This window comes from Homo sapiens, chromosome 1 (assembly GCF_000001405.40).
Source record: "Homo sapiens chromosome 1, GRCh38.p14 Primary Assembly".
NCBI classification, from domain to species: domain Eukaryota; kingdom Metazoa; phylum Chordata; class Mammalia; order Primates; family Hominidae; genus Homo; species Homo sapiens.
The window spans coordinates 21,464,071-21,491,056 of NC_000001.11; the positions used below are offsets into that span (position 1 = coordinate 21,464,071).

The 26,986-nt window shown below is 44.6% G+C and overlaps 1 protein-coding gene across 15 annotated transcripts in view, besides 1 other annotated feature; it reads left to right on the forward strand.

Moving 5' to 3' along the window:
- NBPF3 (NBPF member 3) overlaps positions 1–20,830 on the forward strand; it is a 48,112-nt gene extending 27,282 nt beyond the window's left edge. For 3 of the 15 annotated variants that reach the window (XM_047432037.1, XM_047432038.1, NM_032264.6), the window contains exons 3-15: positions 4,618–4,827; positions 6,562–6,664; positions 7,499–7,713; positions 8,773–8,845; positions 9,310–9,515; positions 10,830–10,881; positions 14,074–14,237; positions 15,279–15,330; positions 15,981–16,153; positions 16,860–16,911; positions 17,527–17,699; positions 18,414–18,465; positions 19,073–20,830. In XM_047432037.1, the coding sequence (XP_047287993.1) occupies positions 4,618–4,827; positions 6,562–6,664; positions 7,499–7,713; positions 8,773–8,845; positions 9,310–9,515; positions 10,830–10,881; positions 14,074–14,237; positions 15,279–15,330; positions 15,981–16,153; positions 16,860–16,911; positions 17,527–17,699; positions 18,414–18,465; positions 19,073–19,316 (1,769 nt within the window). In that variant the 3' untranslated portion in view covers positions 19,317–20,830. Of the gene's footprint in view, positions 1–1,064; positions 1,748–2,016; positions 2,087–2,925; positions 3,240–4,370; positions 4,516–4,617; positions 4,828–6,561; positions 6,665–7,498; positions 7,714–8,772; positions 8,846–9,309; positions 9,516–10,829; positions 10,882–13,998; positions 14,238–15,278; positions 15,331–15,980; positions 16,154–16,859; positions 16,912–17,526; positions 17,700–18,413; positions 18,466–19,072 lie in introns of all 15 variants that reach the window. The other 12 variants (NR_046176.4, NM_001377493.1, NM_001330381.3 and 9 more) reach the window with 9 other exon arrangements.
- Positions 1,259–2,458: an enhancer, noted in NCBI's record as "CDK7 strongly-dependent group 2 enhancer chr1:21791822-21793021 (GRCh37/hg19 assembly coordinates)". NCBI's record gives its function as "activates an origin of replication core promoter dependent on BRD2, BRD4, P300/CBP, MED14 and CDK7 cofactors, with strong dependence on CDK7, by STARR-seq in HCT116 cells {active_cell/tissue: HCT116}" and the evidence as "EXISTENCE:reporter gene assay evidence [ECO:0000049][PMID:35650434]".

The following is a 26,986-nucleotide window of genomic DNA, read 5'->3' on the forward strand; positions in this document are numbered from 1 at the left end:
AAAAAGTTAAACATAAAGTGACATATGATGCAGCAATTGCACTCCTAGGTTTATAACCAAGAAAATGAAAAACAGGTGTTCACTCAAAAACCTGTACAAAGCTGTTCACAGCAGCATTATTCATAATAGTTAAAAAGTGGAAACATCTTTAACCACCATCAGTTGATGAATAAACAAAATGTGGTATAACCATATAGTGGAATATTATCTGGCCATAAAAAGTTGAAGTACTGATGCAGGCTAGAAAGGATGAAACTTGAGAACAATATTCTAAGAAGCAGATAGAAAATACCACACTTTGTTATTCCATATAGAGGAAGTGCCCAGAACAAGTACATCAATATATAGAGAAGGTAGATTAGTGGTTGTCAGAGAGCACAAGAGGGGGGGAATTGGAGAGTGTCTGCCCATAGGTACAGGCATGCTTTTTGGCATTATGAAAATATTCTGGAATTAGGTAGTGGCGATGGTTGTGAAAGTTTTGGAATATGGTAAAAGACACTGAAATGTATGCTTAAAAATGGTGAATTTTGTGATGTATAAATTCTACTGTAGAAATAATAATAACAACAAAAGTAATAAAGCAAGGTGTCTTTCCACATCTCCATGTCCAGTATTTTCATTAAAAAAAAAAAAGAAAGTAAAAGCATTTCAGGGCCAGGTTCAGTGGCTAACTTCTGTAATCCCAGCACTTTTGGAGAACTAGGTGGAAGGATCGCTTGAGGCCAGAAGTTCAAAACCAGCCTGAGCAACATAGCAAGACCTTGTCTCTATGAAAAATAAAAAATTAGCCAGAAATGGTGATGTGTGCCTAGAGTTCCAACTACTTGGAAAGCTGAGGCAGGAGGATCGCTTGAGCCCAGAAGTTCAAGGTTGCCGTGATCTATAATCACCAGTGCACTCCAGCCTGGGTGACAGAATAAGACCCTGTCTCAAAAAAAAAAAAAAAAAAAAAAAAGCATCTCACTTTAATAGTAAGTGGCCAAAATATGATGCTGGCTGCATGTTGTGAGGAAATGTGTTAGATGAAAGAAGTTAAATTCCAGAAGATTTCCTTTTTTCAGAAATGAGGTATAGGGGAGAGAAGCACTGGTCCACCTGAGATCTGGCTCCAGGACTTACAACAAGGGGAACTTGGGCAAGTTACAGACTCTGTGTGCCTCCATTTCTTCATCAGCAAAACAGAAAGAATCATCCCATAAACTGTAAGGTCAATGCTGTCAGTGAGTCCCCAAATTGACTGCACATCTGAGTCATATTAACAAACACATTCCAGGCCCCACCTGAGCCCTCTGAATCAGAATCCCTGCAAGGAGGACAATGAACTTGTATTTGCACTGACTTTCCCAGCTGTTTCTTACTTTGATCAACTTGGGGGTGGGACCCATTGAGCTGCATCACATCATTCCAAAGCCAAAACACAACAGCAGAACAAGAATATTTTCAATGCAGTCTCTGAAGCAGAGGAGAAACTTTTGAGGGAACCTAGAAGTAAAGGACATCTGGCTTGCTGGGCTCCATTTAAACTTTGAGTATAGCAGAGACACGAGCCCTTCGGGACACATGCCTGTCGCAGTGACACTCCAACTTCGGAAGAGTGGAAGCCCTAATTCCAAATTCAAGCATGCTTTGAGTAGAAATGAAGTTTGCCTCTTTTTGCACAGGAAGATGGCCAATCTTTCCTAAGCTGCTGACCTTACAAGAAAAAGAATCGTACTGCTAAGAATTCAAACTTCAGCAGTCATGGGTGAGTAAGGAAGTCTTATAAATGTATTTTAGCCACCTAACAAGAAACTAGAAATTTAGCAAGTTCTTTCACATTCAGGACAGTTGTGTTCACTAGATCAGAGGCACTGAGACATGAAGAACAGACCCCTAAAAAGGGAAAGTGTTCCTTTCAGTTTTAGGACACCACTGGAATATTAGGGAAGTGGAAACACAGCTGCCCACTCTACAGTATGGGTTGCCTTTGTGTCCGGAATGTGCCTAACGTCCTGACCTCCATGCCCTTTTCAGGGAGCCTTGGGAGGAGCCCGAATCACTGATGGAATCGGACAGTGCATGGAGATGGTTCAGCAGGACGAGGGTAAGTGCAGGGGCAAGTCCAGGTCATACTGAGAGACAACGAGTGGCGCTGACAAGAGACAGACAAAGATAAAATCAAAAGTTTGTGCTTCATCTTCAAAAATCCAAACTAATAACACACTTGGCCTTATGAGAAATAATAAGTATTTTTCTATTTACATGAGAATTTAATCTCAAAACAGGAATCAGAAATATATTAAGTCCAGGGCATAAAACCTAAACCACTGCTCATATTTATTCTTTCTAAATAGAGCAAAGTGTAAAATCTTCTCCATAAAATGCACATTGTGCTTATGAAAAGGCCAAAGTCTTAGTGAGAATCATTGGTATTCCATAGAAGAGTGAATTAAACACAGCCAAGGGAAGACCCAAGTCTCATACTTCTCTTGTATATTCCAGAGTTCCAGGGGAATTCCAGGTGATAGAGGTGATCTCCCATACTGTTAAAGCAAGGTTGCAGACACTTGGGAATTTTGGTCCCAGTACTCTAGGAGGTCACACCTCTGTCCTGGACAATACTACAGGAATGTATACTCTTCCTATGACTCATTCTGGTCATTCTTCCAGCATCACAAAAACCAAAAAAAAAAAGGAAATATGTCCAAATACATGATTTGCTATCCCTCCTCTTCAAGTTTCTTACCTGTTACTTACGGATAATAGCATTACCACAGGATTATGATGAAGATACAATGTCCAAATGTAAGCACAGTTTTGAGCAAAATGCCTTGTACGAATTGGTCAGTGAACAACTGGTAAATAATTATGTGAATATTTACTGAATTATATGGATCCTATGAATAATTACTGAATAATTACTGTGATTGCTTTTATTGGCAGTGCTGAAAACTCACCCCTGTGTGACCTCAAGTAAGCCACGTAACTCTGTGAACCTGCAGTTTTATCATTTTTAAAATAAAGAAACATGACAGATTTTCATTATGACACAGAATGTCAGGTCTCCCAGATGCCAGAAAATACATTTACTTAAAGCCGTTGATACGTCTTAAAGCGGTTTCCTTACAGTGTCATTGGAGGACAGCGTGGAGTGCAGAGAGACATGCTTTGAAATGGGATTGATCCAGTCCTCCTTCCTTCACTACCACATGAATGCTGGGCAGCCCAGGATCACACTCACTGCACCCTCAACTCAGGCAAGTCCAGCAGCCAATCTTAGGAGACCTGGGCTACAGAACAGTCTCCCAAGTTCCAGGCTCACAAAACCTAGGTGGGGATGAAAGCTGAGAAAGTGAGGAGGTGGTTCAGGGGATCACTCTTTCCTACTCATTCCTCTCATCTCAAACTCACCCTCTACTGCAACACTGAGGATCACCAACCAACCGTGACCATAACCTTGATCTTGCCATGTTCTGTTAGTGGAATGAAACCAAAAATCAATGGTGTTAGTCCAACCCAACGAAATAGATATCAAACCACATTCCATAAGAACCGCCGCTCATGGCCCTGTTCTTTTCAGTATATGGGAAAACAAAATGGAAACAACAAAATAGCATCAGGTTTATGAAACTTCCCAAGATAGATGGTCACACATGTGTTCAGGAGATCTCTATATAAATGATTTTGGTCACTTGATACCTTGAAAAGAGCTCTTGTGATACTAGAATGACATCCATAAGTGACGAGTATAAAATGTAGCGCTCAGTGACATCAAAAACCAAATCAACCCACATAGAGGAAGAGCTCTGGACATAGGGATGTCAAACTGGTCTAGAGTGTAATGAAAAGCAAAGATGGTGCCCCAGTGAGAAAAAAGAAATCAACGTAACAATGGGAATCAGCAAGAAGAATACTGAGACAGGAAAGACAACATTTTTTACAAATGAGTTATTCATTCACTTTCTAGTGGATACAGACAAAACTGCAGAAGACCCAGAGGAAATCAGGGCAGGCTAAAAGTTTGATATCTTACACTTGTGGAAAAGCCTTAAGATCTGTTTTAACTGAGAGCAGGTGGGGTGACTTCATGACTACCGTTAAGAAAATATAACCTGTTGGGAAACTGGTTCTGCCTGGATGGTGTTGTACAAACAAGCGATAAACAATGAGGAATGTGCTTAGATGTATTGGGAAAGAGATGGGTCTGTGGCATTGTCACAAGGGTACACGAACACTGAGAGTGAATTTTAGAGGAATGATCCCCATTGGTGGTGACCCTCAGGTGAGACGAGGGTGCCTGTGTTTCAGCAAAGCCTGGGCAATTGGAATGCAGGGCTCCTAAGATTCCATGACACCCCCACCTTCTAATTCTGTTATTGCAACTGCAGACCGTTACCTGGCACACTGGCCTCACTCTTGTCGGAGACTGAGCTATTGGCAGTGCCTTCAGCTCTGAGCTCAGGCACCTCGAACATTGTTTTTGTCGTTAAGGATCCTAAAGTGCTGCGGGGACTGATCACATTTTTCTCAACAGTAAGTTAAGAATTTCAGTTACTGACATCCCTCAGTCCTGATTAAACCTATTTGATTTCACCAGTTTTTAACCCATCGTGTGTTTGGGTGTCTTCTCCCCAGTCCCTGGCCCCACCTCTTCTGCCACAAACGTCAGCATGGTGGTATCTGCCGGCCCTTGGTCCGGTGAGAAGGCAGAGATGAACATTCTAGAAATCAACAAGAAATCGCGCCCCCAGCTGGCAGAGAACAAACAGCAGTTCAGAAACCTCAAACAGAAATGTCTTGTAACTCAAGTGGCCTACTTCCTGGCCAACCGGCAAAATAATTACGGTAAGTTCTATAGGCTCACCATCACAAAAGCGATGAATGATGTCCTGTCTTCTCGCTGAGAAACTAAATGCTCTCTCCATCAAAAATAAGTTCAACCCTCCCATACTTCTAGGAAAATAGAAATGGGCATTTTCACATTTTGTTAAATTGGGAAGTCAGAGGTACCAAAGTATTTAGCAACTTTCCATGTTTGCAGTCAGGTGGGGGTGGGCCTAGAGTTAAAATCGCAGTTATTCATTTGGGACACAGGCACAGAACGACCTGTTTTCTCCAAGAGGCTAAATCGTGTTTTCAAGAATCCTCTCTGTACCATATAAGATCCGGCAGACAAATAACATCTAGTCTGTTGTTCTAAATGTGTGGGACTAGTGAACCCTTATTGTGTTCAAGCTTCTGTTGAGGCCCAATAGGCAAAGCTCTGTTCTGGGGACCCTGAGGAAAACTTGGTGATAGTACACAGTACCCGCTCTGAGGGGCTTCAAGGGGAGTCTGCTCCTAATAGAACCTGTGGTATCTGTAAGTGACAGCATCAAGAGCAGGGAGTAGGGGCCGTGCACGGTGGCTCACTCCTGTAATCCAAGCACTTTGGGAGGCTGAGGCGGGTAGAGCACGAGGTCAGGAGTTTGAGACCAGCCTGGGCAACGTGGAGAAACCCCATCTCTTCTAAAAATACAAACATTAGCTGGGCGTGGTGGCGGGCGCCTGTAATCCCAGCTACTCAGGAGGCTGAGGCAGGAGAATCCCTTGCATCCAGGAGGCAGAGGTTGCAGTGAGCCAAGAACACGCCATTGCACTCCAGCCTGGGCGATAGGGCAAGACTCGTCAAAAGAAAAGCAGAGAGTACCCGGTGAGAGGGAAGTCCTGCTTCCTGGGGCACAGGCTCTTGTTCCTAAAGAGGAAGAAGGATCGCACCCGAGATTGTGTGGAAGTAGCAGTGCAGTGTGCAGACCAGGGACTCTGGGCCTGTCTCCTGGGCTCCATCCAAGTTGCTTGTCTTGTCTGTCCCTCAGTTTCCTCATCTGTACATAGGGTACTACAGAAATACCTACCTCTGTAAATTGCTGCAATGAGTTACATGAGCTGTTTCTTGTCAATCTCCTAGAACTTTTATTGGCACAGAGTTAACACTCTGTTAGTTCTTCATTCTACTGTTTCTAAATTAACACAAACCTTAGTATTCGGGCAGATTTCCTTCATGGCCTTATGGTCTTACGTCTCATCCTTTATGCTTCAGATGTGATTCTTAAAATCACATCTAAAGCTATGATGTAAAAATCAAAGATGTTTAAGATCTTTGACATATTTGTCCTTGAACTTCCCAGTGAAAGGGAAACCATCAGTCCCATAGTCCTAGGGGCCTTCCCAACTGTACAAGAAATCACTACTTCATGCCCCAGTGCAGTGCTTTAGAGGAGAGGCTGCAAGGCTTGGGAAAGTGGCCCCGCATTCAGAGTCAGACCTCAGGGGCTGTGAATTCTGACTCCACTTCATTGTGGTTGAATCATCTTGTCAACTTCCTTGATGTGCCTTGAGTTTCTCTTCGTCTCTAAATTTTGGAGGATCAGCTGCCAGTAAGTCGGGAGACTGAAGAGTAAAGATGTGGAAATCCCTACGTAGAGCCTGGCAGTGGGGACAGTTTTGTCCTTGGGATGGACCTGGCTCCTGCCCTGTAGGCAGTGACCAGAGCAGCATGTCCAGCCTTTCACTGAGGCAGGCGTGTGTGTCTTTTCTCAGACTATGAAGACTGCAAAGACCTCATAAAATCTATGCTGAGGGATGAGCGGCTGCTCACAGAAGAGAAGCTTGCAGAGGAGCTCGGGCAAGCTGAGGAGCTCAGGTGAGTGGGCCCCCTGGGGTCAGGCAGGTGGGCAGGTGTGTAAATATCTGAAGTACAGCAGCTCGGCAGGGAGAACTAAGAGCTGAACTGGGCCAGGGGAAGGGCAGGAATTGCCATGGCAGGCTCACGACACACAAAGATTTATCAAGCAGAGAACAAGGATAATAATAAGTTATGGGTTGCAGTTGTTTTTCAGAGCCTTATTTTCTGTTTTTCAAACAAGTAATTGTTGAGGTGAAATGCGCATAACACAAAATTAACCGAAGGAGTGGGAACCACCGAGCAGCATTCGGCATACTCAAAGTGATGTGCCATCACCACCCCACTCACCCTTAGTCAGAATCAGCTCCTGACTGACTGCGGCTTCTCATGCTTTCACTCAATGTTACCTTCTCGAGCCTGTCATTCCTTTCTTTCATCTTTTCAATTGGCCCCATCTGCACCTGGCCTCATTTCTGTCCATGGCTTTGTATCTAGTCGCTGCAAGATGCACTATGTGTATATGCACGTGGAAATGTCCATGGCCAGAGTGAGGAACTGAAAGGATGGATGTCTTTTTGAAACTGAATGAGGAAGACACCTACTTTTGTTGACAGAAGAGAAAGATGAATGGAACATCATGGAGGGTCTTCCAGGAGCCCTCTCTCATACAGAGGAAGCCTGTGAACCATTTTTTATTCTTTCTCTTGGGCACAGACATTTCTTTAAACATGTGCTGACCTTCTGCTTGGAGGTCTCCTTGAGGACATTGTCTCAGAAATCTGTGTTGCAAAATATTAGAACTGATCACTCATCCCTTTCCACTGTTAAATTTTCTCTACTATCTCACCTTAGGCAATATAAAGTCCTGGTTCACTCTCAGGAACGAGAGCTGACCCAGTTAAGGGAGAAGTTACAGGAAGGGAGAGATGCCTCCCGCTCATTGAATCAGCATCTCCAGGCCCTCCTCACTCCGGATGAGCCGGACAACTCCCAGGGACGGGACCTCCGAGAACAGCTGGCTGAGGGATGTAGGCTGGCACAGCACCTCGTCCAAAAGCTCAGCCCAGGTGAGGTGGCCATAGGCCCTGATGACCCAAAACCCCAGGCTTATGAGAGACTTCAGACCTCCATACTTTCACAATGACATTTGTATCGGTGGTGTTTTTTCCCACTAAACGTATGTGGCCGTGACATAAGTGACATAACCAGGACTTCCTGGGTAAGAACAGAGGTGGGAAACCGATTGGGTTGGAGGTCACAGTATTTCAAATGTCCCTCCTCCCTTGATGGAAGGTGGTCTTTGGAGCAAGAAGCTGCACGTTTCTAGTTTTAAAGGACAGGAAGGAGGCTGTGACGGGAGGGCGCTTTTTAGAGTGAAAAGAGCTCTGGACTCAGAAGGCAGGTTCCCAGGCTGTCTCTTTGGCAATGTTCTTAGTAACTGTCGGTGAGTGAGTGATTTATCCTTCCTGAGTTTCTCTGTCTCCATCTGCAAAGGCAGGCAAATTGTCTCTTGCAAGAGTCTGAAGCATCCAAATGTGGGAACACTTAGGACTGCTTTTCAAAATGAGATAAAGCCCCTCGCCATGTGGTGTTAGAGAAGGCACTTGATGTGGGGGCATTTGGTGGTAGGAAGTGCTTGATACTGGAGCACTCTTCATGGAGAGAATGTCCCTGAATAACAGGGCAGAAGCCACATGGAGGGCCTGTGCAGTCTCCTGATGCATAGAGGACTGTAGGGCAAGTTTGTCCTCTCCTAAGAGAAAGAATTAGGTTTGAAATGTGAACTGTGACAGGACACCAAGCCCGTGCCTGGGAATCAGACCTGTAGCCAGATGGGGGAGACAGCTGCCAAAGTTCAGAGAGAGGCTGTAGGAGCCTCCATGATATGGGGAGCAAAAGGTCTTTTCAGTATTTGGCCACATCTTGATGGTGGCCCTCCAGATCAGAAATGCATTGCCTGATGGATCGGGAAACCATGCCAGGGCATTTTGTTAACGATAAAACATGAGAGCTTTCAGCTGAACAGTGACCATGCCTAGATGTTCATGTCTGTGTGCACATTCGGCTGACTGTGCTTGCAGAGTGTGAATTGGGAAATATCTGAATGAACACTTCTGTATTTACAGAAAATGATGACGATGAGGATGAAGATGTTAAAGTTGAGGAGGCTGAGAAAGTACAGGAATTATATGCCCCCAGGTAACGCTGAATAATCGGGAGCAAGTAATGGGTGGTAACATATGAAAAAGGTCTAGGAGGCACACCCTCTCTGGCATCTATGATGGGCCGAAAGCCTGCATTCCCTTGGCCACAGTATGAGAAACTCAAGCCAGCTTGGACACAGGGTGTGGCAGCTGTTGTGTTTCTCTGTGTGTGGTGGGTGTCATGTCTGTACCGTACAGGGATAGCTGAGTTTTCATCCTCCTCGGCTCCTATCTGTCCAGTGCAATGAACACCAGTTGCTGTCTTCCTCTCTGGCTCCCATGGCTGCCATGCTCTGTTGCAGAGAGAAGAGGATTGCCTGTTCCCTCTTAAAGGGATCCTCCTGTTTGCTTTCTTGGACCACTCTCTTAATGCCTCCTGTCGAAACCAGCTAGCACTCCCTGGTGTCCAATCCCTCTGTGTTTAGTCTTCTGTCATCTCTATCCCACCTGGCTCATCAGGGAGGTGCAGAAGGCTGAAGAAAAGGAAGTCCCTGAGGACTCACTGGAGGAGTGTGCCATCACTTGTTCAAATAGCCACCACCCTTGTGAGTCCAACCAGCCTTACGGGAACACCAGAATCACATTTGAGGAAGACCAAGTCGACTCAACTCTCATTGACTCATCCTCTCATGATGAATGGTTGGATGCTGTATGCATTATCCCAGGTAGCCTCTATTTTCCTGTGTCTCACACCTTTTCCTATGCTGAGGAATATAAACTCTGAAGACAGGCTCTATACACACAGATTGGTTTTAATAAAATCTATTATGGTATTCTTAACAGAGATATCAAGGAGGTTTTCTGTCCTTCTCAGCTCATGTCATGCCTTTGTCTCACAGTCCCCAGTGTCAAGTTACTGGACCCCAGACAAGTGTGACAATCTCATAGTCACCTGAGTGCAGGAGGTACACAGGAAGTATCTGTGAGGCCTCGTACCTTTGATTCAGTATCTCTTGTCACCTGTGATTAAGTCGTCTGTCCCTGAACAATGTCCATGAAATTTCTCTGCCTTTTTAAGGCGACTGGCAGCCTTGCCTTTGTGTTTGGAAATATTGTTCCCCAGGCTTCACTGCTCTCAGCTTTAATCTTGATCTCCTTTGAGTCTGCTTGGTTAGCTGCACAGTCACCTTGAAATCAGGACAGAAACTTTTCTTTTTTACTTTGCTGATATAGTTCCATAAAGCAAGGCTGGACCCTGGTTCTCCACCCCATCAATGCAATGGCTGATGCAATGTTTTGTAGCATCATAGATTCTCTCTCTCTTTTTCTTTTCTTTTCTTTTTCTTTTTCTTTTTTTTTTTGTGATGGAGTCTGGCTCTGTCACCCAGGCTGGAGTGCAATGGCTCCATTTTGGCTTGCTGCAACTTCCACCTCCCAGGTTCAAGTGATTCTCCTGCCTCAGCCTCCTGAGTCGCTGGTACCACAGGTGCTCAGCACCACATCTGGCTAATTTTTGTATTTTTATTAGAGACGGGGTTCCCCCATGTTGGCCAGGCTGGTCTTGAACTCATGACCTCAAATGATTCACCTTCCTTGACCTCCCAAATCACAGATTCTTTTTAATGCAAGAGTTGTTAGAATTTATCTATCAGTCGAGTTTCATGTGTAGATCCCTCTAAACATTTAATGTCCATGTTACCTGGTGATATAAGTCAGTATTGCAACAACACTCCTAGAAAATTGTTTGACCAATTATTGGCGACTTTGGGGGGAAAATTTTGTTTAACTTTGCATAGACTCAGGCAGGGAATATGGCATTATGGTCTACCCATAGAGGGAAATTTTGGCCTGTGGGTCTGGAAAGCAGGGTCATCTACTTCTCACCAGAGTTAATCTAGGGCACCCTGGAGTGCTCCTGTCAGAATCCATATTCTTGCACTGAGAATAGTTATGTCCTTGTCCTATGACTGGACACTGATTTGGTCATATGTGGAGTGTGAATTGCTTAATGTGACCTGCTTCTCTGAATTTATTTCCAGAAAATGAAAGTGATCATGAGCAAGAGGAAGAAAAAGGGCCAGTGTCTCCCAGGTAATGCCATGGAATTGTGGGCTGTTAATTCAATAGTGGCAGCTGGAGTTTGTAGATTTAGAGAAAATGAGGAAGCAATGAATAGAACTTTTTATTCCATTCACCCAGCTACAAGTTGTCCTTATTAACAATGTTGTACATTATTTGTGGCCCTTGTGTTGGTTTTAATTTCGTAGTCCTCTCAAGATAGGAACTTGCAATCAGATGAGCCAGGTGAACTAGCCAAACAGGGATTTCTTGTTGATCTTTTCAAAAAACCAGCTCCTGGATTCACTGATTTTTTTGAAGGGTTTTTTGTGTCTCTATCTCCTTCAGTTCTGCTCTGATCTTAGTTATTTCTTGCCTTCTGCTAGCTTTTGAATTTGTTTGCTCTTGCTTCTCTAGTTCTTTTAATTGTGATGTTAAGGTGTTGATTTTAGATCTTTCCCTTCCTTGTGGGCATTTAGTGCTAGAAATTTCCCTCTCCACACTGCTTTAAATGTGTCCCAGAGATTCTGGTATGTTGTGTCTTTGTTCTCATTGGTTTCAAAGAACATCTTAATTTCTGCCTTCATTTCGTTATTTACCCAGTAGTCATTCAGGAGCAGGTTGTTCAGTTTCCATGTAGTTGTGCAGTTTTGAGTGAGTTTCTTAATCCTGAGCTCTAATTTGATAGCACTGTGGTCTGAGAGACAGTTTGTTGTGATTTCTGTTCTTTTACATTTGCTGAGGAGTGCTTGCTGAGGAGTGCTTTACCTCCAACTATGTGGTCAATTTTGGAATAAGTGTGATGTGATGCTGAGAAGAATGAATATTCTGTTGGTTTGGGGTGGAGAGTTCGTAGATGTCTATTAGGTCTGCTTGGTGCAGAGCTGAGTTCAAGTCCTGGATATCCTTGTGAACCTTCTGTCTCATTGATCTGTCAAATATTGACAGTGGGGTGTTAAAGTCCCCCATGATTATTGTGTGGGAGTCTAAGTCTCTTTTTAGGTCTCTCAGGACTTGCTTTATGAATCTGGGTGCTCCCGTATTGGATATATGTACATTTAGGATAGTTAGCTTTTCATGTTGAATTGATCCCTTTGCAATTATGTAATGGCCTTCTTTGTCTCTTTTGATCTTTCTTGGTTTAAAGTCTGTTTTATCAAAGACTAGGATTGCAACCCCTGCTTTTTTTTGCTCTCCATTTGCTTGGTAGATCTTCCTCCATCCCTTTATTTTGAGCCTATGTGTGTCTCTGCACGTGAGATGGGTCTCCTGCGTACAGCACACTGATGGGTCTTGACTCCTTATCCAATTTGCCAGTCTGTGTCTTTTAATTGGGGCATTTAGCCTATTTACATTTCAGGTTACTATTGTTATGTGTGAATTTGATCCTGTCATGATGATGTGAGCTGGTTATTTTGCCTGTTAGTTGATGCACTTTCTTCCTAGCATTGATGGTCTTTACAATTTGGCACGTTTTTGCAGTGGCTGGCTGGTACTGGTTGTTCCTTTCCATGTTTAGTGCTTCCTTCAGGAGCTCTTGCAAGGCAGGCCTGGTGGTGACAAAACCTCTCAGCATTTGCTTGTCTGTAAAGGATTTTATTTCTCCTTCACTTTTGAAGCTTAGTTTCGCTGAGTATGAAATTCTGGGTTGAAAATTCTTTTGTTTATGAATGTCGAATATTGGCCTCCACTCTCTTCTGGCTTGTAGGGTTTCTGCAGAGAGATCCACTGTTAGTCTGGTGGGCTTCCCTTAGTGGGTAACTCGACCATTCTCTCTGGCTGCCCTTAACATTTTTTCCTTCTTTCAACCTTGGTGAATCTGACAATTATGTGTCTTGGAGTTGCTCTTCTCGAGGAGTATCTTTGTGGTGTTCTCTGTATTTCCTGAATTTGAATGTTGGCCTGCTTTGCTAGGTTGGGGAAGTTCTCCTGGATAATATCCTGAAGAGTGTTTTCCAACTTGGTTCCATTCTCCCCGTCACTTTCAGGTACACCAATCAAATGTAGATTTGGTCTTTTCACATAGTCCCATATTTATTGGAGGCTTTGTTCATTTCTTTTTACTCTTTTTTCTCTAAACTGCTCTTCTCACTTCATTTCATTAATTTGATCTTCAATCACTAATACCCTTTCTTCCACTTGATCGAATCGGCTACTGAAGCTTGTGCATGTGTCACGTAGTTCTCGTGCCATGGTTTTCAGCTCCATCAGGTCATTTCAGGTCTCCTCTACATTGTTTATTCTAGTTAGCCATTCGTCCAATCTTTGTTCAAGGTTTTTAGCTTCCTTGTGATGGGTTTGCACATCCTCCTTTAGCTCGGAAAAGTTTATTACCGACTTCTGAAGCCTACTTCTGTCAGCTCATCAAAGTTATTCTCCGTCCTGCTTTGTTCCATTGCTGGTGAGGAGCTCTGATCCTTTGGAGGAGAAGGGGCGCTCTGGTTTTTAGAATTTTCAGCTTTTCTGCTCCAGTTTGTCCACATCTTCGTGGTTTTATCTACCTTTGGTCTTTGATGCTGGTGACCTACAGATGGGGTTTTGGTGTGGATGTCCTTTTGTTGACGTTGATTCCTTTCTGTTTGTTAGTTTTCCTTTTAACAGTGAGGTCCCTCAGCAGCAGGTCTGGTGGAGTTTGCTGGAGGTCCACTCCAGACCTTCAAACAGGGATTTCTTGGTGTCACCTGTTCTCTCCCATGTGTTTAAATCCAGGGAGAGAATGTATAAATGCTTTCTGCTTATTTTTTATTAGTGTGTTTGCTAGTATTTGTGTAAGCAAAGAAATTGAAAAAATAAACATATTATATCAAAATATTGTAAAAAGGGGACCCTTAATACACAAGATCTGTGTCTGCACTGCCTCAAGAGCTCTGTTCACTTGAATGCTGCATGTAAAATTCATCCCAATTTAGACGAAGTAGTTGAAGCCCTGTGTTAGTTCTCTGTGCTGCAAGTCATGATGGTAGTTTACAGAGAGAGTCTGGGTGCCCTGCATTGGCTGATCTGTGGCAAATGTACTGAGCACGTGCTGCCCATTTTTGTTCGGTCCTCAGAGCAGTCACCCTCCAGCCTGCATTTAGAAGGATAGTTTTATTTCTCTTGAAGGAAAAATGCCTTTGGTTTCTGTGAGCACTCCATTCTGTCTCCCATCAGATCATCTGGAAGGTTTTGTTGTCTAATCTCTGTTGGTTATATCTTCTGTCATCCCTGTCCTGCCTGGCTCATCAGGAATCTGCAGGAGTCTGAAGAGGAGGAAGCCCCCCAGGAGTCCTGGGATGAAGGTGATTGGACTCTCTCAATTCCTCCTGACATGTCTGCCTCATACCAGTCTGACAGGAGCACCTTTCACTCAGTAGAGGAACAGCAAGTCGGCTTGGCTCTTGACATAGGCAGTGAGTACTCCATTTTGAAGGTGATAAAGCTCCAGTTCATGTCCCAGGTAGACCCCATAATCTTTGGGCCTTGTGACCCTGGTTGGGCTGAGAGTTGCCATCACTGTGGGTGGAACCTATATATCAATGTAGATTTCAATCACTCTGGAATCGAGTCTGAAGCACAGGCGTGGGGTGGGTCAGTGAGCTTTGCTCTCTTCCTAGTCTCAGGCCATGCCTGTGCCACCCTGGACTGACTGTCAGGACACTGAACACAAGACGGGCGTGGCAAACTCACACCAAGCTGTGCAGCATATGTCCAGGAGTTGTCTGTCAGATCAGCTCACCTGAGTTAAACGTCTCTTGCCAGCTACAAAGTTCTTTATGAGTTTTGTTCCCAAAGCATGTCTGTGCAGTGCTTTACCTGCCCAAGGCCAGTGTCACCCTTGTCTACCTCTCCGTGGAAGATGTGACCCAGGTTTCACTGAATTTTTCCCCCTTTTCTGTGTCTTCTAAGTTGGCTTGTCATAGCTCATCTGTCCATCATCTTGCTGGTATGTTTTCTAGATAAATGGCTGACTTTTCACCCACAAAAGCCATGATAGCTGATGCTTCTGTGTAGAACCAAGTGTCACTTTGACTCAAGAGCTGGTACATTGCACCCCTCCATCAAATCTCAGTGTCCACAATCTCATAAACTATCAAATCTGGGTATTTGAAGAGAGAAGCCTGAATATTGCAGTATCTCTCCTATGAGGCATTAGAATGATTTGCCTCAAATCTATTGGGAAAAACATTGCTCATTTGTGTACACAAACCTAGGACAGAGCACACTGGGAAGATCACATTCCAAAACAGGGGCATTTTGCCCAAGGCTCATGAAAGGAACCAAGTCAGTTCTCTCAAGACTTGCCCTCAGGCCTCCTGGTATATTTCTCTCAAAGTCTCCTATTCTCACACTGAGAAGACTGATGTCCCTGTGTTAGGATTGGACAGAGGAATGTTTCCGTGTGCAAGGAAGAACTGCTTCATGTAAGAGGCCCTGTCTGAATTTATTTGCAGGACATTGGTGTGATCAAGTGAAAAAGGAGGACCAAGAGGCCACAAGTCCCAGGTGAGTCTGAGAAATTATGGACAGTTAATTTGATGTTGACACCTGGAGATGCCAAGTCCGGGGAAAGCAGTACATGCTGAAAATGATGATTTCATCTTGTCAGACAAGTCTGAATTATGTCTACTAACATTGCTTTTGGTTCTCATTACAGTAAATGTTTAGGTTTCCATTTCTTCCTATCCTTCTCATTTACTAACCTAGTGAAGGTTGACCATACTTCAAAAGCTGTATTCTCATGGTGACTGCAGGGAAGCTTGAGCACATTTTATGCAAAATTGTTGAGCCCACTCTTTTCATGATCACTGTTCATTGTGTGTCCTGAAGGCACAAATATAGAGTGTTCTTTGACTCTCTCATCAGTGTGTCACCTGGCCAATTCACTGAGCTCACTATCTCTCTCTCTCTCTCTCTCTCTCTCTCTGTGTGTGTGTGTGTGTGTGTGTGTGTGTGTGTATGTGTATGTCTTTCTCTTTCATCCTTTTCTACCTGGCCCTGGTCTGTCCCAACATGAAGGCAATAATTTGTTACCTCATTAATAGATCTGTCCTTTTTCTTTTCAAACAGTTCCTTATGTTACCCATGAAATCTAGCTGGGGCTGTGTGGTTTCTGATTCCCCCTGGCTTATTCTTTACTTTTCCTACTTTTCCAGGCTCAGCAGGGAGCTGCTGGATGAGAAAGAGCCTGAAGTCTTGCAGGACTCACTGGATAGATTTTATTCAACTCCTTTTGAGTACCTGGAACTGCCTGACTTATGCCAGCCCTACAGAAGTGACTTTTACTCATTGCAGGAACAACACCTTGGCTTGGCTCTTGACTTGGACAGTGAGTACCTTACTATGAAGGTGATAAGACTCCACCTGGTCCTCCAGATATGGGTGATATTCCTGTTCCAAGTGGCCCTTATTGACCCGAGAGATGTCATTGCCACAGGCAGGACCCGTGGGCGCATAGAGGTTGTAATGAAATTGTAGTTTCAGTTGGAAGCCCAGACATGAAATGGGTCAGTGAGCATGGCTCTATTCCTAGTCTCCAGCCATGCCTGTGGCAACCTGAGCCCACTCTCAGCACATTGGACCCAGGCAGGTGTAAAAAATTCACAGAACCATGATTTGGACTCAAGGGTTTGTAGATTTCCTCCTTCATTCAAATTTCAGTGTCTTGCAACCACGAATGAGCTGGGCATTTGATGAGACAGGGCTGAATACTGCAGTTTTCCTCCTAGAAATCATCTGGGGCATTTTCTTTGAATTGATGGGAGCAATAAGGCATAACTGTTTGCACAAACTTGGGATAAATGATTTTGGGATAACTGTCTACCAGAATAGGGACATTTCACCCTTGGTTCTGAGATGCAAACCAAAGAATCTCTATCATGACCAGCTTTGAGGCCTCCTGAAGTATATCTCTCACATTGTCCTGTTCTCATGCTGAGGAGCCTGAGGTCCCTGTGTGGGGATTAGACAGTGGACTGTTAATGGGTGTAGGTGAATTGGCTTATCTTGTCTGTCCCTGTCTGAATTTATTGCAGGAATGAAAAAGGACCAAGAAGAGGAAGAAGACCAAGGCCCACCATGCCCCAGGTAAGTTTGAGCAATTGTCAACAGCTAATTCTGTGTTGACACCTGGAGACTCCTGGTTCAGGGAAAGCAGAGCAGGCCGACATTATCGATTACATGTTTTCAACCAAGCCTGAATTATTCCTACTCACATTGCTATTGGTTTTCATTGCAGTAGATATTTAGGTTTCCGTTTCTTCCTCCCCTTATCACTTACTAACCTACTGTAGGTCGACCATACTTCAAAAGCTGTATCCTCATGGTGACTGCATGGAAACTTGAGCACATTTTATGGAAAATTATTGAGCACAGTCTTTTCATGATCACTGTATGCTGTGTGCCCTGAGGGCACTAACTCAGAGTGTCCTGTACTCCCTCCTCAGTGTGTCACCTGGACAATTCAGTGAGCGCTCACTCTCTCTCTCTCTGCCTCTGTCTCTCTGTCTCTCTGTCTTTCTCTTTCATTCTTTTCTGTTTGGCCCTGTGCCATCCCAACTGAGGGCAATAATTTGTTACCTCATTAATGGATGTATCCTTTTTCTTTTTTAACCACTTCCTAATGCTACCCATGAAATCTAGTTGGGGCTCTGTGGTGTCTGATTTCCCCTGGCTTATTCTTTACTTTTTCTACTTTTCCAGGCTCAGCAGAGAGCTGCCGGAGGTAGTAGAGCCTGAGGACTTGCAGGACTCACTGGATAGATGGTATTCGACTCCTTTCAGTTATCCAGAACTGCCTGATTCATGCCAGCCCTACGGAAGTTGCTTTTACTCATTGGAGGAAGAACACGTTGGCTTTTCTCTTGACGTGGATGGTGAGTACCTTTCTATGAGGGTGATAAGGATCCACTGAGTTTTCCGTATAGAGATCCTATTCCTGCTCTAAGAGGCCGTTACTGAGCTGAGAGATGTCATTGCTGCACTGAGGACCTATAGGCACATATAGGTTGAACGAAACTCTAGTTCTACCTGGAAGCCCAAACATGGGATGGGTCAGTGAGCGTGGCTCTCTTCCTAGTCTCAGGCCATGCCTGTGGCACTCTGATTCTACTCTCAAGGCATTGGACCTGGGCAGATGGGACAAATTCAGAGAACTATGATTTTGACTCAAGGGTTTGTAGATTTCCTTTCTCACTCTAATTTCAGTGTCTAAAATCCTCACAACTATGAACAATCTGAGTATTTGATGAGACAGGGCTGAATATTGCAGTTTTTCTCCTAGAAATCGTTTGAGGGCATTTGCTTTAAATTGATTGGAAAGATATGGCATAACCGTTTGCACAAACTTGGGACAAATGATATTGGGATAATGATCTACCAGAATAGGGACATTTTACCCTTAGTTTCTGGGACAAAAACCAAGGAATCTCTATCATGACCATCCTTCAGGCCTCCTGAAATATATCTCTCACAGTGTCCTATTCTTATGCTGAGGAGCCTGAGGTCCCTGTGTGAGGATTAGACAGTGGAATGTTATGTGTGTAGGGGAATCAGCTTAATGTGTCTGTCCATGTCTGAATTTATTGCAGAAATTGAAAAGTACCAAGAAGGGGAAGAAGATCAAAAGCCACCATGCCCCAGGTAACTTTCAGCAATTGTGGTCGCTTAATTCTGTGTTAACACCTGGAGACAACAGATCCAGGGAAAACAGTGTGTTTGATTTCATGTTTTCAATGAAGGCTGAATTACTCCTGCTGACATTGCTATTGGTTTTCATTGCAGTAGACGTTTAGGTTTTCATTTCTTCCTCCCCTTATCATTTACTAATGTACCATAGGTTGACCATACCTCAGAAGTTGTACCCTTATGGCGACTGCATGGAATTTTAAGCACACTTGATGGAAAACTATTGAGCTCACTCTTCTCATGATCACTGTTTGCTGTGTGTCCTGAGGGCACTAACTCACAGTGTCCTTTTACTCCCTCATCAATGTGTCACCTGGCCAATTCACTGAGCTCACTTTCTCTCTCTCTCTGTCTCTCTCTCTCACTCTCTGTCTTTCTCTTTCATTGTTTTCTACTTGGCCCTGTTCTATCCCAACATAAAGGCAATAATTTTTTTACCTCATTAATGGAACTATCCTTTTCCTTTTTTGACCACTTCCTTATGTTACCCCTGAAATCTAGTTGGGGCTCTGTGGTGTCTGATTTTCCCTGGCTGCTTCTTTAGTTTTGTCTCCTTTTCCAGGCTCAACGAGGTGCTGATGGAAGCAGAAGAGCCTGAAGTCTTGCAGGACTCACTGGATAGATGTTATTCGACTACTTCAACTTACTTTCAACTACATGCCTCATTCCAGCAGTATAGAAGTGCCTTTTACTCATTTGAGGAACAGGACGTCAGCTTGGCCCTTGACGTGGACAATAGGTTTTTTACTTTGACAGTGATAAGGCACCACCTGGCCTTCCAGATGGGAGTCATATTCCCACACTAAGCAGCCCTTACTAAGCTGAGAGATGTCATTGCTGCAGGCAGGACGTATAGGCACATGTAGGTTTGAATGAAACTGTAGTTCCCTTTGGAAGCCCAGTCATAGGATGGGAAAGTGGGCATGGCTCTATTCCTATTCTCAGACCATGCCAGTGGCCACCTGTGCTCAGTCTGAAGACGTTGGACCCAAGTTAGGTGTGACACGTTCACACGACTATGTAGCACATGCCGGGAGTGATCTGCCAGACATTCTAATTTGAACCAGATATCTCTGGGTAGCTACAAAGTTCCTCAGGGGTTTCATTTTGCAGGCATGTCTCTGAGCTTCTATACCTGCTCAAGGTCAGTGTCATCTTTGTGTTTAGCTCATCCAAAGGTGTTACCCTGGTTTCATTGAACCTAACCCCATTCTTTGTATCTTCAGTGTTGGTTTGTTTTAGCTGATCCATCTGTAACACAGGAGGGATCCTTGGCTGAGGATTGTATTTCAGAACCACTGACTGCTCTTGACAGTTGTTAACCCACTAGGCTCCTTTGAGTAGAGAAGCCATAGTCCTTCAGCCTCCAATTGATATCAATACTTAGGAAGACCACAGCTAGACGGACAAACAGCATTGGGAGGCCTTAGTCCTGCTCCTTTCAATTCCATCCTGTAAAGAACAGGAGTCAGGAGCCGCTGGCAAGAGACAGCATGTCACCTGGGACTCTGCCAGTGCAGAATATGAACAATGCCATGTTCTTGCAGAAAATGCTTAGCCTGAGTTTCATAGGAGGTAATCACCAGACAACTGCAGAATGTAGAACACTGAGCAGGACAACTGACCTGTCTCCTTCACACAGTCCACGTCACCACGAATCACACAACAAAAAGGAGGAGAGATATTTTGGGTTCAGAAGAAGTAAATGATAATGTAGCTACATTTCTTTAGTTATTTTGAACCCCAAATATTTCCTCATCTTTTTGTTGTTGTCATTGATTTTGGTGACATGGACTTGTTTGTAGAGGACAGGTCAGCTGTCTGGCTCAATGGTCTACATTCTGAAGTTGTCTGAAAATGTCTTCATGATTAAATTCAGCCTAAACGTTTCATCAAGAACACTACAGAGTCGATACTGTGAGTTTCCAACCTCAGCCCATCTGTGGGCAGAGAAGGTCTAGTTTGTCCATCAGCATTATCATGATATCAGGACTGGTTACTTGGTTAAGGAGGGGTCTAGGAGATCTGTCCCTTTTAGAGACACCTTACTTATGATGAAGTATTTGGGAGAGTGGTTTTTCAAAGTAGAAATGTCCTGTATTCCAGTGATCATCCTCTAAACGTTTTATCATTTATTAATCATCCCTGCCTGTGTCTATTATTATATTCATATCTCTACGCTGGAAATTTGCTGCCTCAATGTTTACTGTGCCTTTGTTTTTGCTAGTGTGTGTTGTTGAAAAAAAAACATTCTCTGCCTGAGTTTTAATTTTTGTCCAAAGTTATTTTAATCTATACAATTAAAAACTTTTGCCTATCACTCTGGACTGTTGGATTGTTTTTTACATTCAGCGTTATAATCTTTTGTTATGCTGATTGGTTTTGGTGGGTACTGATGCGAATTAATAAAAACATTTTCATTTCCCTGTTTATTTTCTAATCTCTTCCACCTTGTAGGCTATGTTTACCATATGTAGCAGAATGCATGTACTCCATTTCTTGGTTCTAGATATTTATATTCTTTGTGAGAGTGTGTGTGTGTGTGTCTGCGTGTGCCTCTGGCATTTAGGAAGGGTTGTGTAGCTCATGTTTGATATTGACTAAAAATGTTTCATAGTTTTCCCCCCTTTGAACTAGACACACTTCTAATATTTGGTTTATACGTTTTAAATTATGACTTTCAACATCACATATTTCCATATGACAGTCAATTACATGATGTGTTTTCTTTTTCCTACCTCCTTTACCTGCCACTTCTCATAATCGTATTTGAACCTAAACATACACCAGTGACATTCTGTGGTTGTCATCTTGCCCACACCTTGGTTTTTGGTTTAGATCCACAATTAAATATATTAATGCTCATGAGCTGTTCAAAAGTGAATGTCACAGTCATCACTTGCTGAGTGGTACTCATCCTAACAGAGTCCTCATGAGGGAATCAGGTCTCGCTGAGTTTAGCATGTTTAATAATCTTCCTCACGGTCTTGATACATGGATCGCATTACTGGATATAAGGTGTTTGCCCAAAATGATTTTTCTTGTGTTTTTAGGAGCTATTGTCTTCCTTGCGGGACATACATGGTGTATGTTCTCGTTGTGGGATTCTATTTTGTTCTACCAGGACCTATAATTTCTGCCAGTTACTTCATTTGTTCTCTTCACCATGAGTCTCCAGCGGATGCTTCCTTTGTCCATGCCTCCCCATCTCCCAGCAATTCTGCGTTTCCAGGACTGGCACCTCTGGTCCTCTGCATGGTGAAGCCCCTTCCTTTCAATTCCCCAGTAGCCAGTGCTCTAATCCACCAGGTCTCAGGCATGATCTGTGTTTCTCCACATGCTCTTTCTGAGGATAGTTTTACCTGTGTTCTGTCATGAACAGGCCCTCCCTGCTGTCCTGGCCTCGATTTGCTTAGTGTTTCCTGCTCCCTCTGCCCTTGTGTGGCTCCCAGACCAAGTGAAAGAAAATCACCTGAGGGCCACAGTGTTCCCTAGCCCTGGCGTTTAGGGACAGGGTTATGGGTGGGATTTTTGACTCTCTAAGTTAACCCCTAGGGCTTTGAAGTGTCTGTTGAGAAATTCAGCTGTTATCATCCTAGGTGGTCTTGCTCTCTCCTGTCCTCCTACTTCAAATGCAGAACTTCAATCGTGTACAAAAGAAGACCGAGTCATATAACAGAACACACCCTTATTCATTGGCTGGCTTCACCAATCATCTCATGGCTGAACTTTTAAAAATACACTCTTAGCCACATACCTATGAAATGTATATGTGTGTGTATACATATGTGAATTTGCTTCTGAGATTATGGAGGCTGAAATTCCCAAGATGGAAGGAAAGCTGGATGGATACCCAGGAAAGCATTTGTTTCCTATTAGGCCTCTTAATTCTCTCCTGGCCTTTGATTGATTGTATGAGTCCCACCCCCGTTAAGGGGGCAATCTGCTTCACTTAGTCTGCCCATCCCGATCTTAATCACATGCGAAACACTCTCTGGAACATCCAAGAATTTGACATCCAAGAATTTAGCACTAATACAATAATATTATCCAATGTAGATATATTCAGCTTTCCCCATTTGTACCAATAATGCCTTGTATAGCTGTTTTTGAAAGGGAAAATTTTCAAAGGAGAAACTTTGCATACAGTGAAATTCATAGATCTTAGGTGTACATTTCAATGACTTGCACTAAATATATACTCTTCTACCATCATCTCTATATGTTGATACAGGACATTTCCATTGCCCCAAAAGTTTCTCCTTCCAGTCCCTCCCCTTTCCCCTCAACATCTTTTATTATTGTGGTAAGTAGTTCTGGGGATGATTGATTCATCTACAACTTTAGAATTTGCAAAACATATCCCCTTCACCTTTTTAAATGGAGGTAGACTGGAGAAAGGGGGATATGGTGAGTACTGGAGCTAAACAGACCCTGCCTTTTTTTCCCCCCGAGATGGAGTCTCGCTCTGTCGCCATGCTGGAGTGCAATGGCGCGATCTCAGTTCACTGCAACCTCCGTCTCCCAGGTCCAAGCGATTCTCCAGCCTCAGCCTCCCGAGTAGCTGGGATTACAGGCATGTGCTACCGCATCCGGGTACTTTTTTTTGTATTTTTAGTAGAGCTGGGGTTTCACCATGTTGGCCAGGCTGGTCTCAAACTCCTGACTTCAAGTGATCCGCCCGCCTCGGCCTCCGAAAATGTTGGGATTATAGGTGTGAGCCACTGCACCCAGCCCAGACTCTGCTCTTATCCTAATTTTACCTTATTAGCTGTGTACTATGGACAGGTTACCTAACATCTCTGAATTTCAGTTTTTTTCCACATGTAAAATGGGTCATTTGTAAAAATTAGCACAACATATGTCAAGCACGTGAGAACTCACCAAACATTGATTCCCTCCCCATTTCCCTCTTTCTCTTTATTTGATACTCAAAATAATCTTCATTCAATCATTTATGCAACAAATTCTTTTTTTTTTTTTTGAGGCAGGGTCTCAGTCGCTCAGGCTGGAGTGCAGTGGCACAATCATGGCTCACTGCAGCCTCGACCTCCCAGGCTCAAGTGATCTTCCCTCAGCCTTCTGAGTTGCTGGGACCACAGGCATGTGCCACGTGCCCGACTAATTTTTTTTTGTAGAGACAGGGTCCCCCTGTGTTGCCCAGGCTGGTCTCAAACTCCTGAGTTAAAGTGATCCTCCCACCTGAGCCTCCCAAAGTGCTGGGATTATAGGCATGAGCCACCCACACCTGGCCTGTGGCTATTTTTACTCATATTGTTTCTTGTGAGCTAAGCATCTGACATACAGTAGATACTCCATAAGAATTTGTTAGGCAGGCCCTGTGGCTCGTGCCTGTAATCCCAGCACTTTGGGAGGCCGAGGTAGGAGGACCACTTAAACCCAGGAGTTTGAGATCAGCCTGGGCAACATAGGGAGACCCTGTCTCTACAAAAATTAAAAAATTATCCAGGCCGGGTGCAGTGGCTCATGCCTATAATCCCAGCACTTTGGGAGGCTGAGACGGGTGGATCACGAGGTCAGGAGATCGAGACCATCCTGGCTAACACGGTGAAACCCCATCTCTACTAAAAATACAAAAAAAAATTAGCTGGGTGTAGTGGCGGACGCCTGTAGCCCCAGCTACTCGGCAGGCTGAAGCAGGAGAATGGTGTGAACCCGGGAGGCAGAGCTTGCAGTGAGCCGAGATAGCGCCATTGCACTCCAGCCTGGGCAACAGAGCGAGACTGCGCCTCAAAAAAAAAAAAATTATCCAGGCATGGTGGCACGTGCCTGTGGTCCCAGCTACTCAGGAAGCTGAGGTGGGAGGATTTCCTGAGCCCAAGAGGTTGAAGCTGCTGTGAGCACATCACTGCACTCCAGCCTGGGCAACAGAGCAAGACACTGTCTCAAAAAAATAAAGTATACAAAATGAACAAACACACAAACAAACAAAACGGAAGTACCCAGTGCCCTTAGAGGGTATAATGGGGGTTCTGACTCTCTCAGGGCTGCTGATCAGGAAGGGCATGGCATCCAGGAGGAGGTGAACCTTTATCAGAGAACAAAGGAAACAGGATAGAATGAGGCAAGGCTTTTAAAGGATAGAGCAGGGCTCTCCAGGAAGATGAGACAGGGTGTGCAAATGTCCTGTGGCAGGAGAGAGTATGGTGCATTCAAAGAACTAAAAGGCTCAGGTAGCTACAGCAAGAAGCAAGATGTGGCTGAAGCTGGTAAGGACCAAGCTTTGCAGGGCCCAGCCAACACTAGTTGGAAATCAGGTCACACAACAGCAAGGAGGCGCTGTGGGTGGCTTTTCAGCAGGGGTGTGGTTAGGGGTGTGACGTGATCAGACCTGCCCTGGGAAGAGAAAGCAGTGTCACTTCCTGAGACCACGGGGACGCCTTGCAGCCATCCTGGGGAGGAACTAGTTGCCTGGACCAGGATGGTAGTGATGGAGACGAGGAGATGGTCAGATTTTGGAAATATTTAGGGATCATTGGTAAAACTCACAGGACTTGGAGATGGTCTGGACACAGGGAGGAAGGGACAAGGAGGAGGACCAAGTCTCAGGTGTGAGGAGTTACAGCTGGAGAAGGACTGAGGGCTGGAGAGGAGTTGGGTACCATTATCCTCCTCTTGAGTTGAAAAAGCCAAGGTTCTGTGAGGTAAAAAGACTGAACATGGCCAGAGAGTTCGAGGGGGGCGGGGGTGGTGGCAATGATGCTGTTGTGAACACCTGCTGCTCCGGGACTTCCAGCCGGGGAACGGGGGTGGTGGTAAGAAATGCTCTGTTGCTGAAGGTCTGGGATCATCCACGTCTGGGCATTCTGGAAGAAAACTTCGCACCTCATATGGAAGACGGAGCTAGCAAGAATGGAGCCAAGAAACCGTTTCCTGGGAGCACAAAAATATCCTGGGCAGCAGCTGCCCCACTAACAGCACGTGGTACGTGGCACACAGTAGGCGCTCAATGGCCCACGACACTCTGCTGAGGCTGGCCCAGCACCTGAAGCCTAGGGGCCGTTGGGGCGACTGCTCTGCCCACTCCTTCTCACCCACCTCTTGGCTACCTCAGATTTCGGGGTCAATCAAGAATAGTAACCCCTGGCCGGGTGCGGTGGCTCACACCTGTAATCCCAGCACTCTGGGAGGCCGAGGCAGGCAGATCACGAGTTCAGGAGATCGAGACCATCCTGGCTAACATGGTGAAACCCCGTCTCTGCTAAAAATACAAAAAATTAGCCGGGCATGGTGGTGGGTGCCTGCAATCCCAGCTACTCGGGAGGCTGAGGCAGGAGAATGGCGTGAACCCAGGAGGTGGAGCTTGCAGTGACCCGAGATCGTGCCACTGCACTCCAGTCTGGGCAATAGAGCAAGACTCCGTCTCAAAAAAAAAAAAAAAAAAAAAAGAATAGTAACCCCTTCCCCTACCTGGAAAGCCCAGGTGCTAGGACAAAAAAAGAGAGGGTGAATGTTTTTGAAAACCTATGGCTGGGCACAGTGGCTCATGCCTGTAATCCCAATACTTTGGGAGGCTAAGGTGGGCAGATCACTTGAGTTCAGGAGCTCGAGACCAGCCTGGTCAAAATGGTGAAACCCCGTATCAACTAAAAATACAAAAAAAATTAGCTGGGCTTGGTGACACACGCCTGTAATCCCAGCTACTTGGGAGGCTGAGGCACAAGAATCACTTGAATCTCAGAGGTGGAGGTTGCACTGAGCTAAGATCAGGACACTGCACTCTAGCCTGGGTGACAGAGTAAGACTCTGTCTCAAAAAAAAAAAGAAAAAGAAAACCTACTGCATGACAGGGACAATGCTGGTCTTTACACCTATTCTGAAGATTTAATTACTAGATTGATTTAAGAGTAAATTAATTTCCATTTACTTTTTATTTTTATTTTTTTAGAGACAGGGTCTTGTTCTGTCACCCAGGCTGGAGTGCAGTGGTGCGATCATATTGATAGCAGCAGGAGGCAGACAAATGCCTAGGTAGATAGGGGCGGGTCCCCGGTGAAACCACAGCTTCAAGCCAAAAACAGCTGGACTGCTGGTTCCAGAGGAGTGAGAACTTCTGTTCCTGTTTGCCTACCCTTTACTGACTGGCTCTTTCTGAATAATGCTCTTTAACCAATCAAATGTTGCCTTTTTCAATACTACTTACAGCCTGCCCCTCCCTAATGCTATGCCTGTAAAAATCCCAGACTCAGCCACACTGAGGGAGATGACCTGACTTTGGGTGAGACACCACCTACCCATCCCCTTTCCTCCAAGAGCTGTTTTGTAGCTCAATAACATTCTCAGCCCTCATCACCCTTCAATCGTCGGCATGACTTCATTTTTCTTGGACGAGGGACAAGAGCTAGGGACCTACCGAATGTGAGTACCCAGAAGGCTGTAGCACTGTGGCCCTCTGCCCTCTGCTGGTGGAGGGCAGCCGCTCCATCTGACAGAAGCAGTGGTGAGGCTGAGCCAG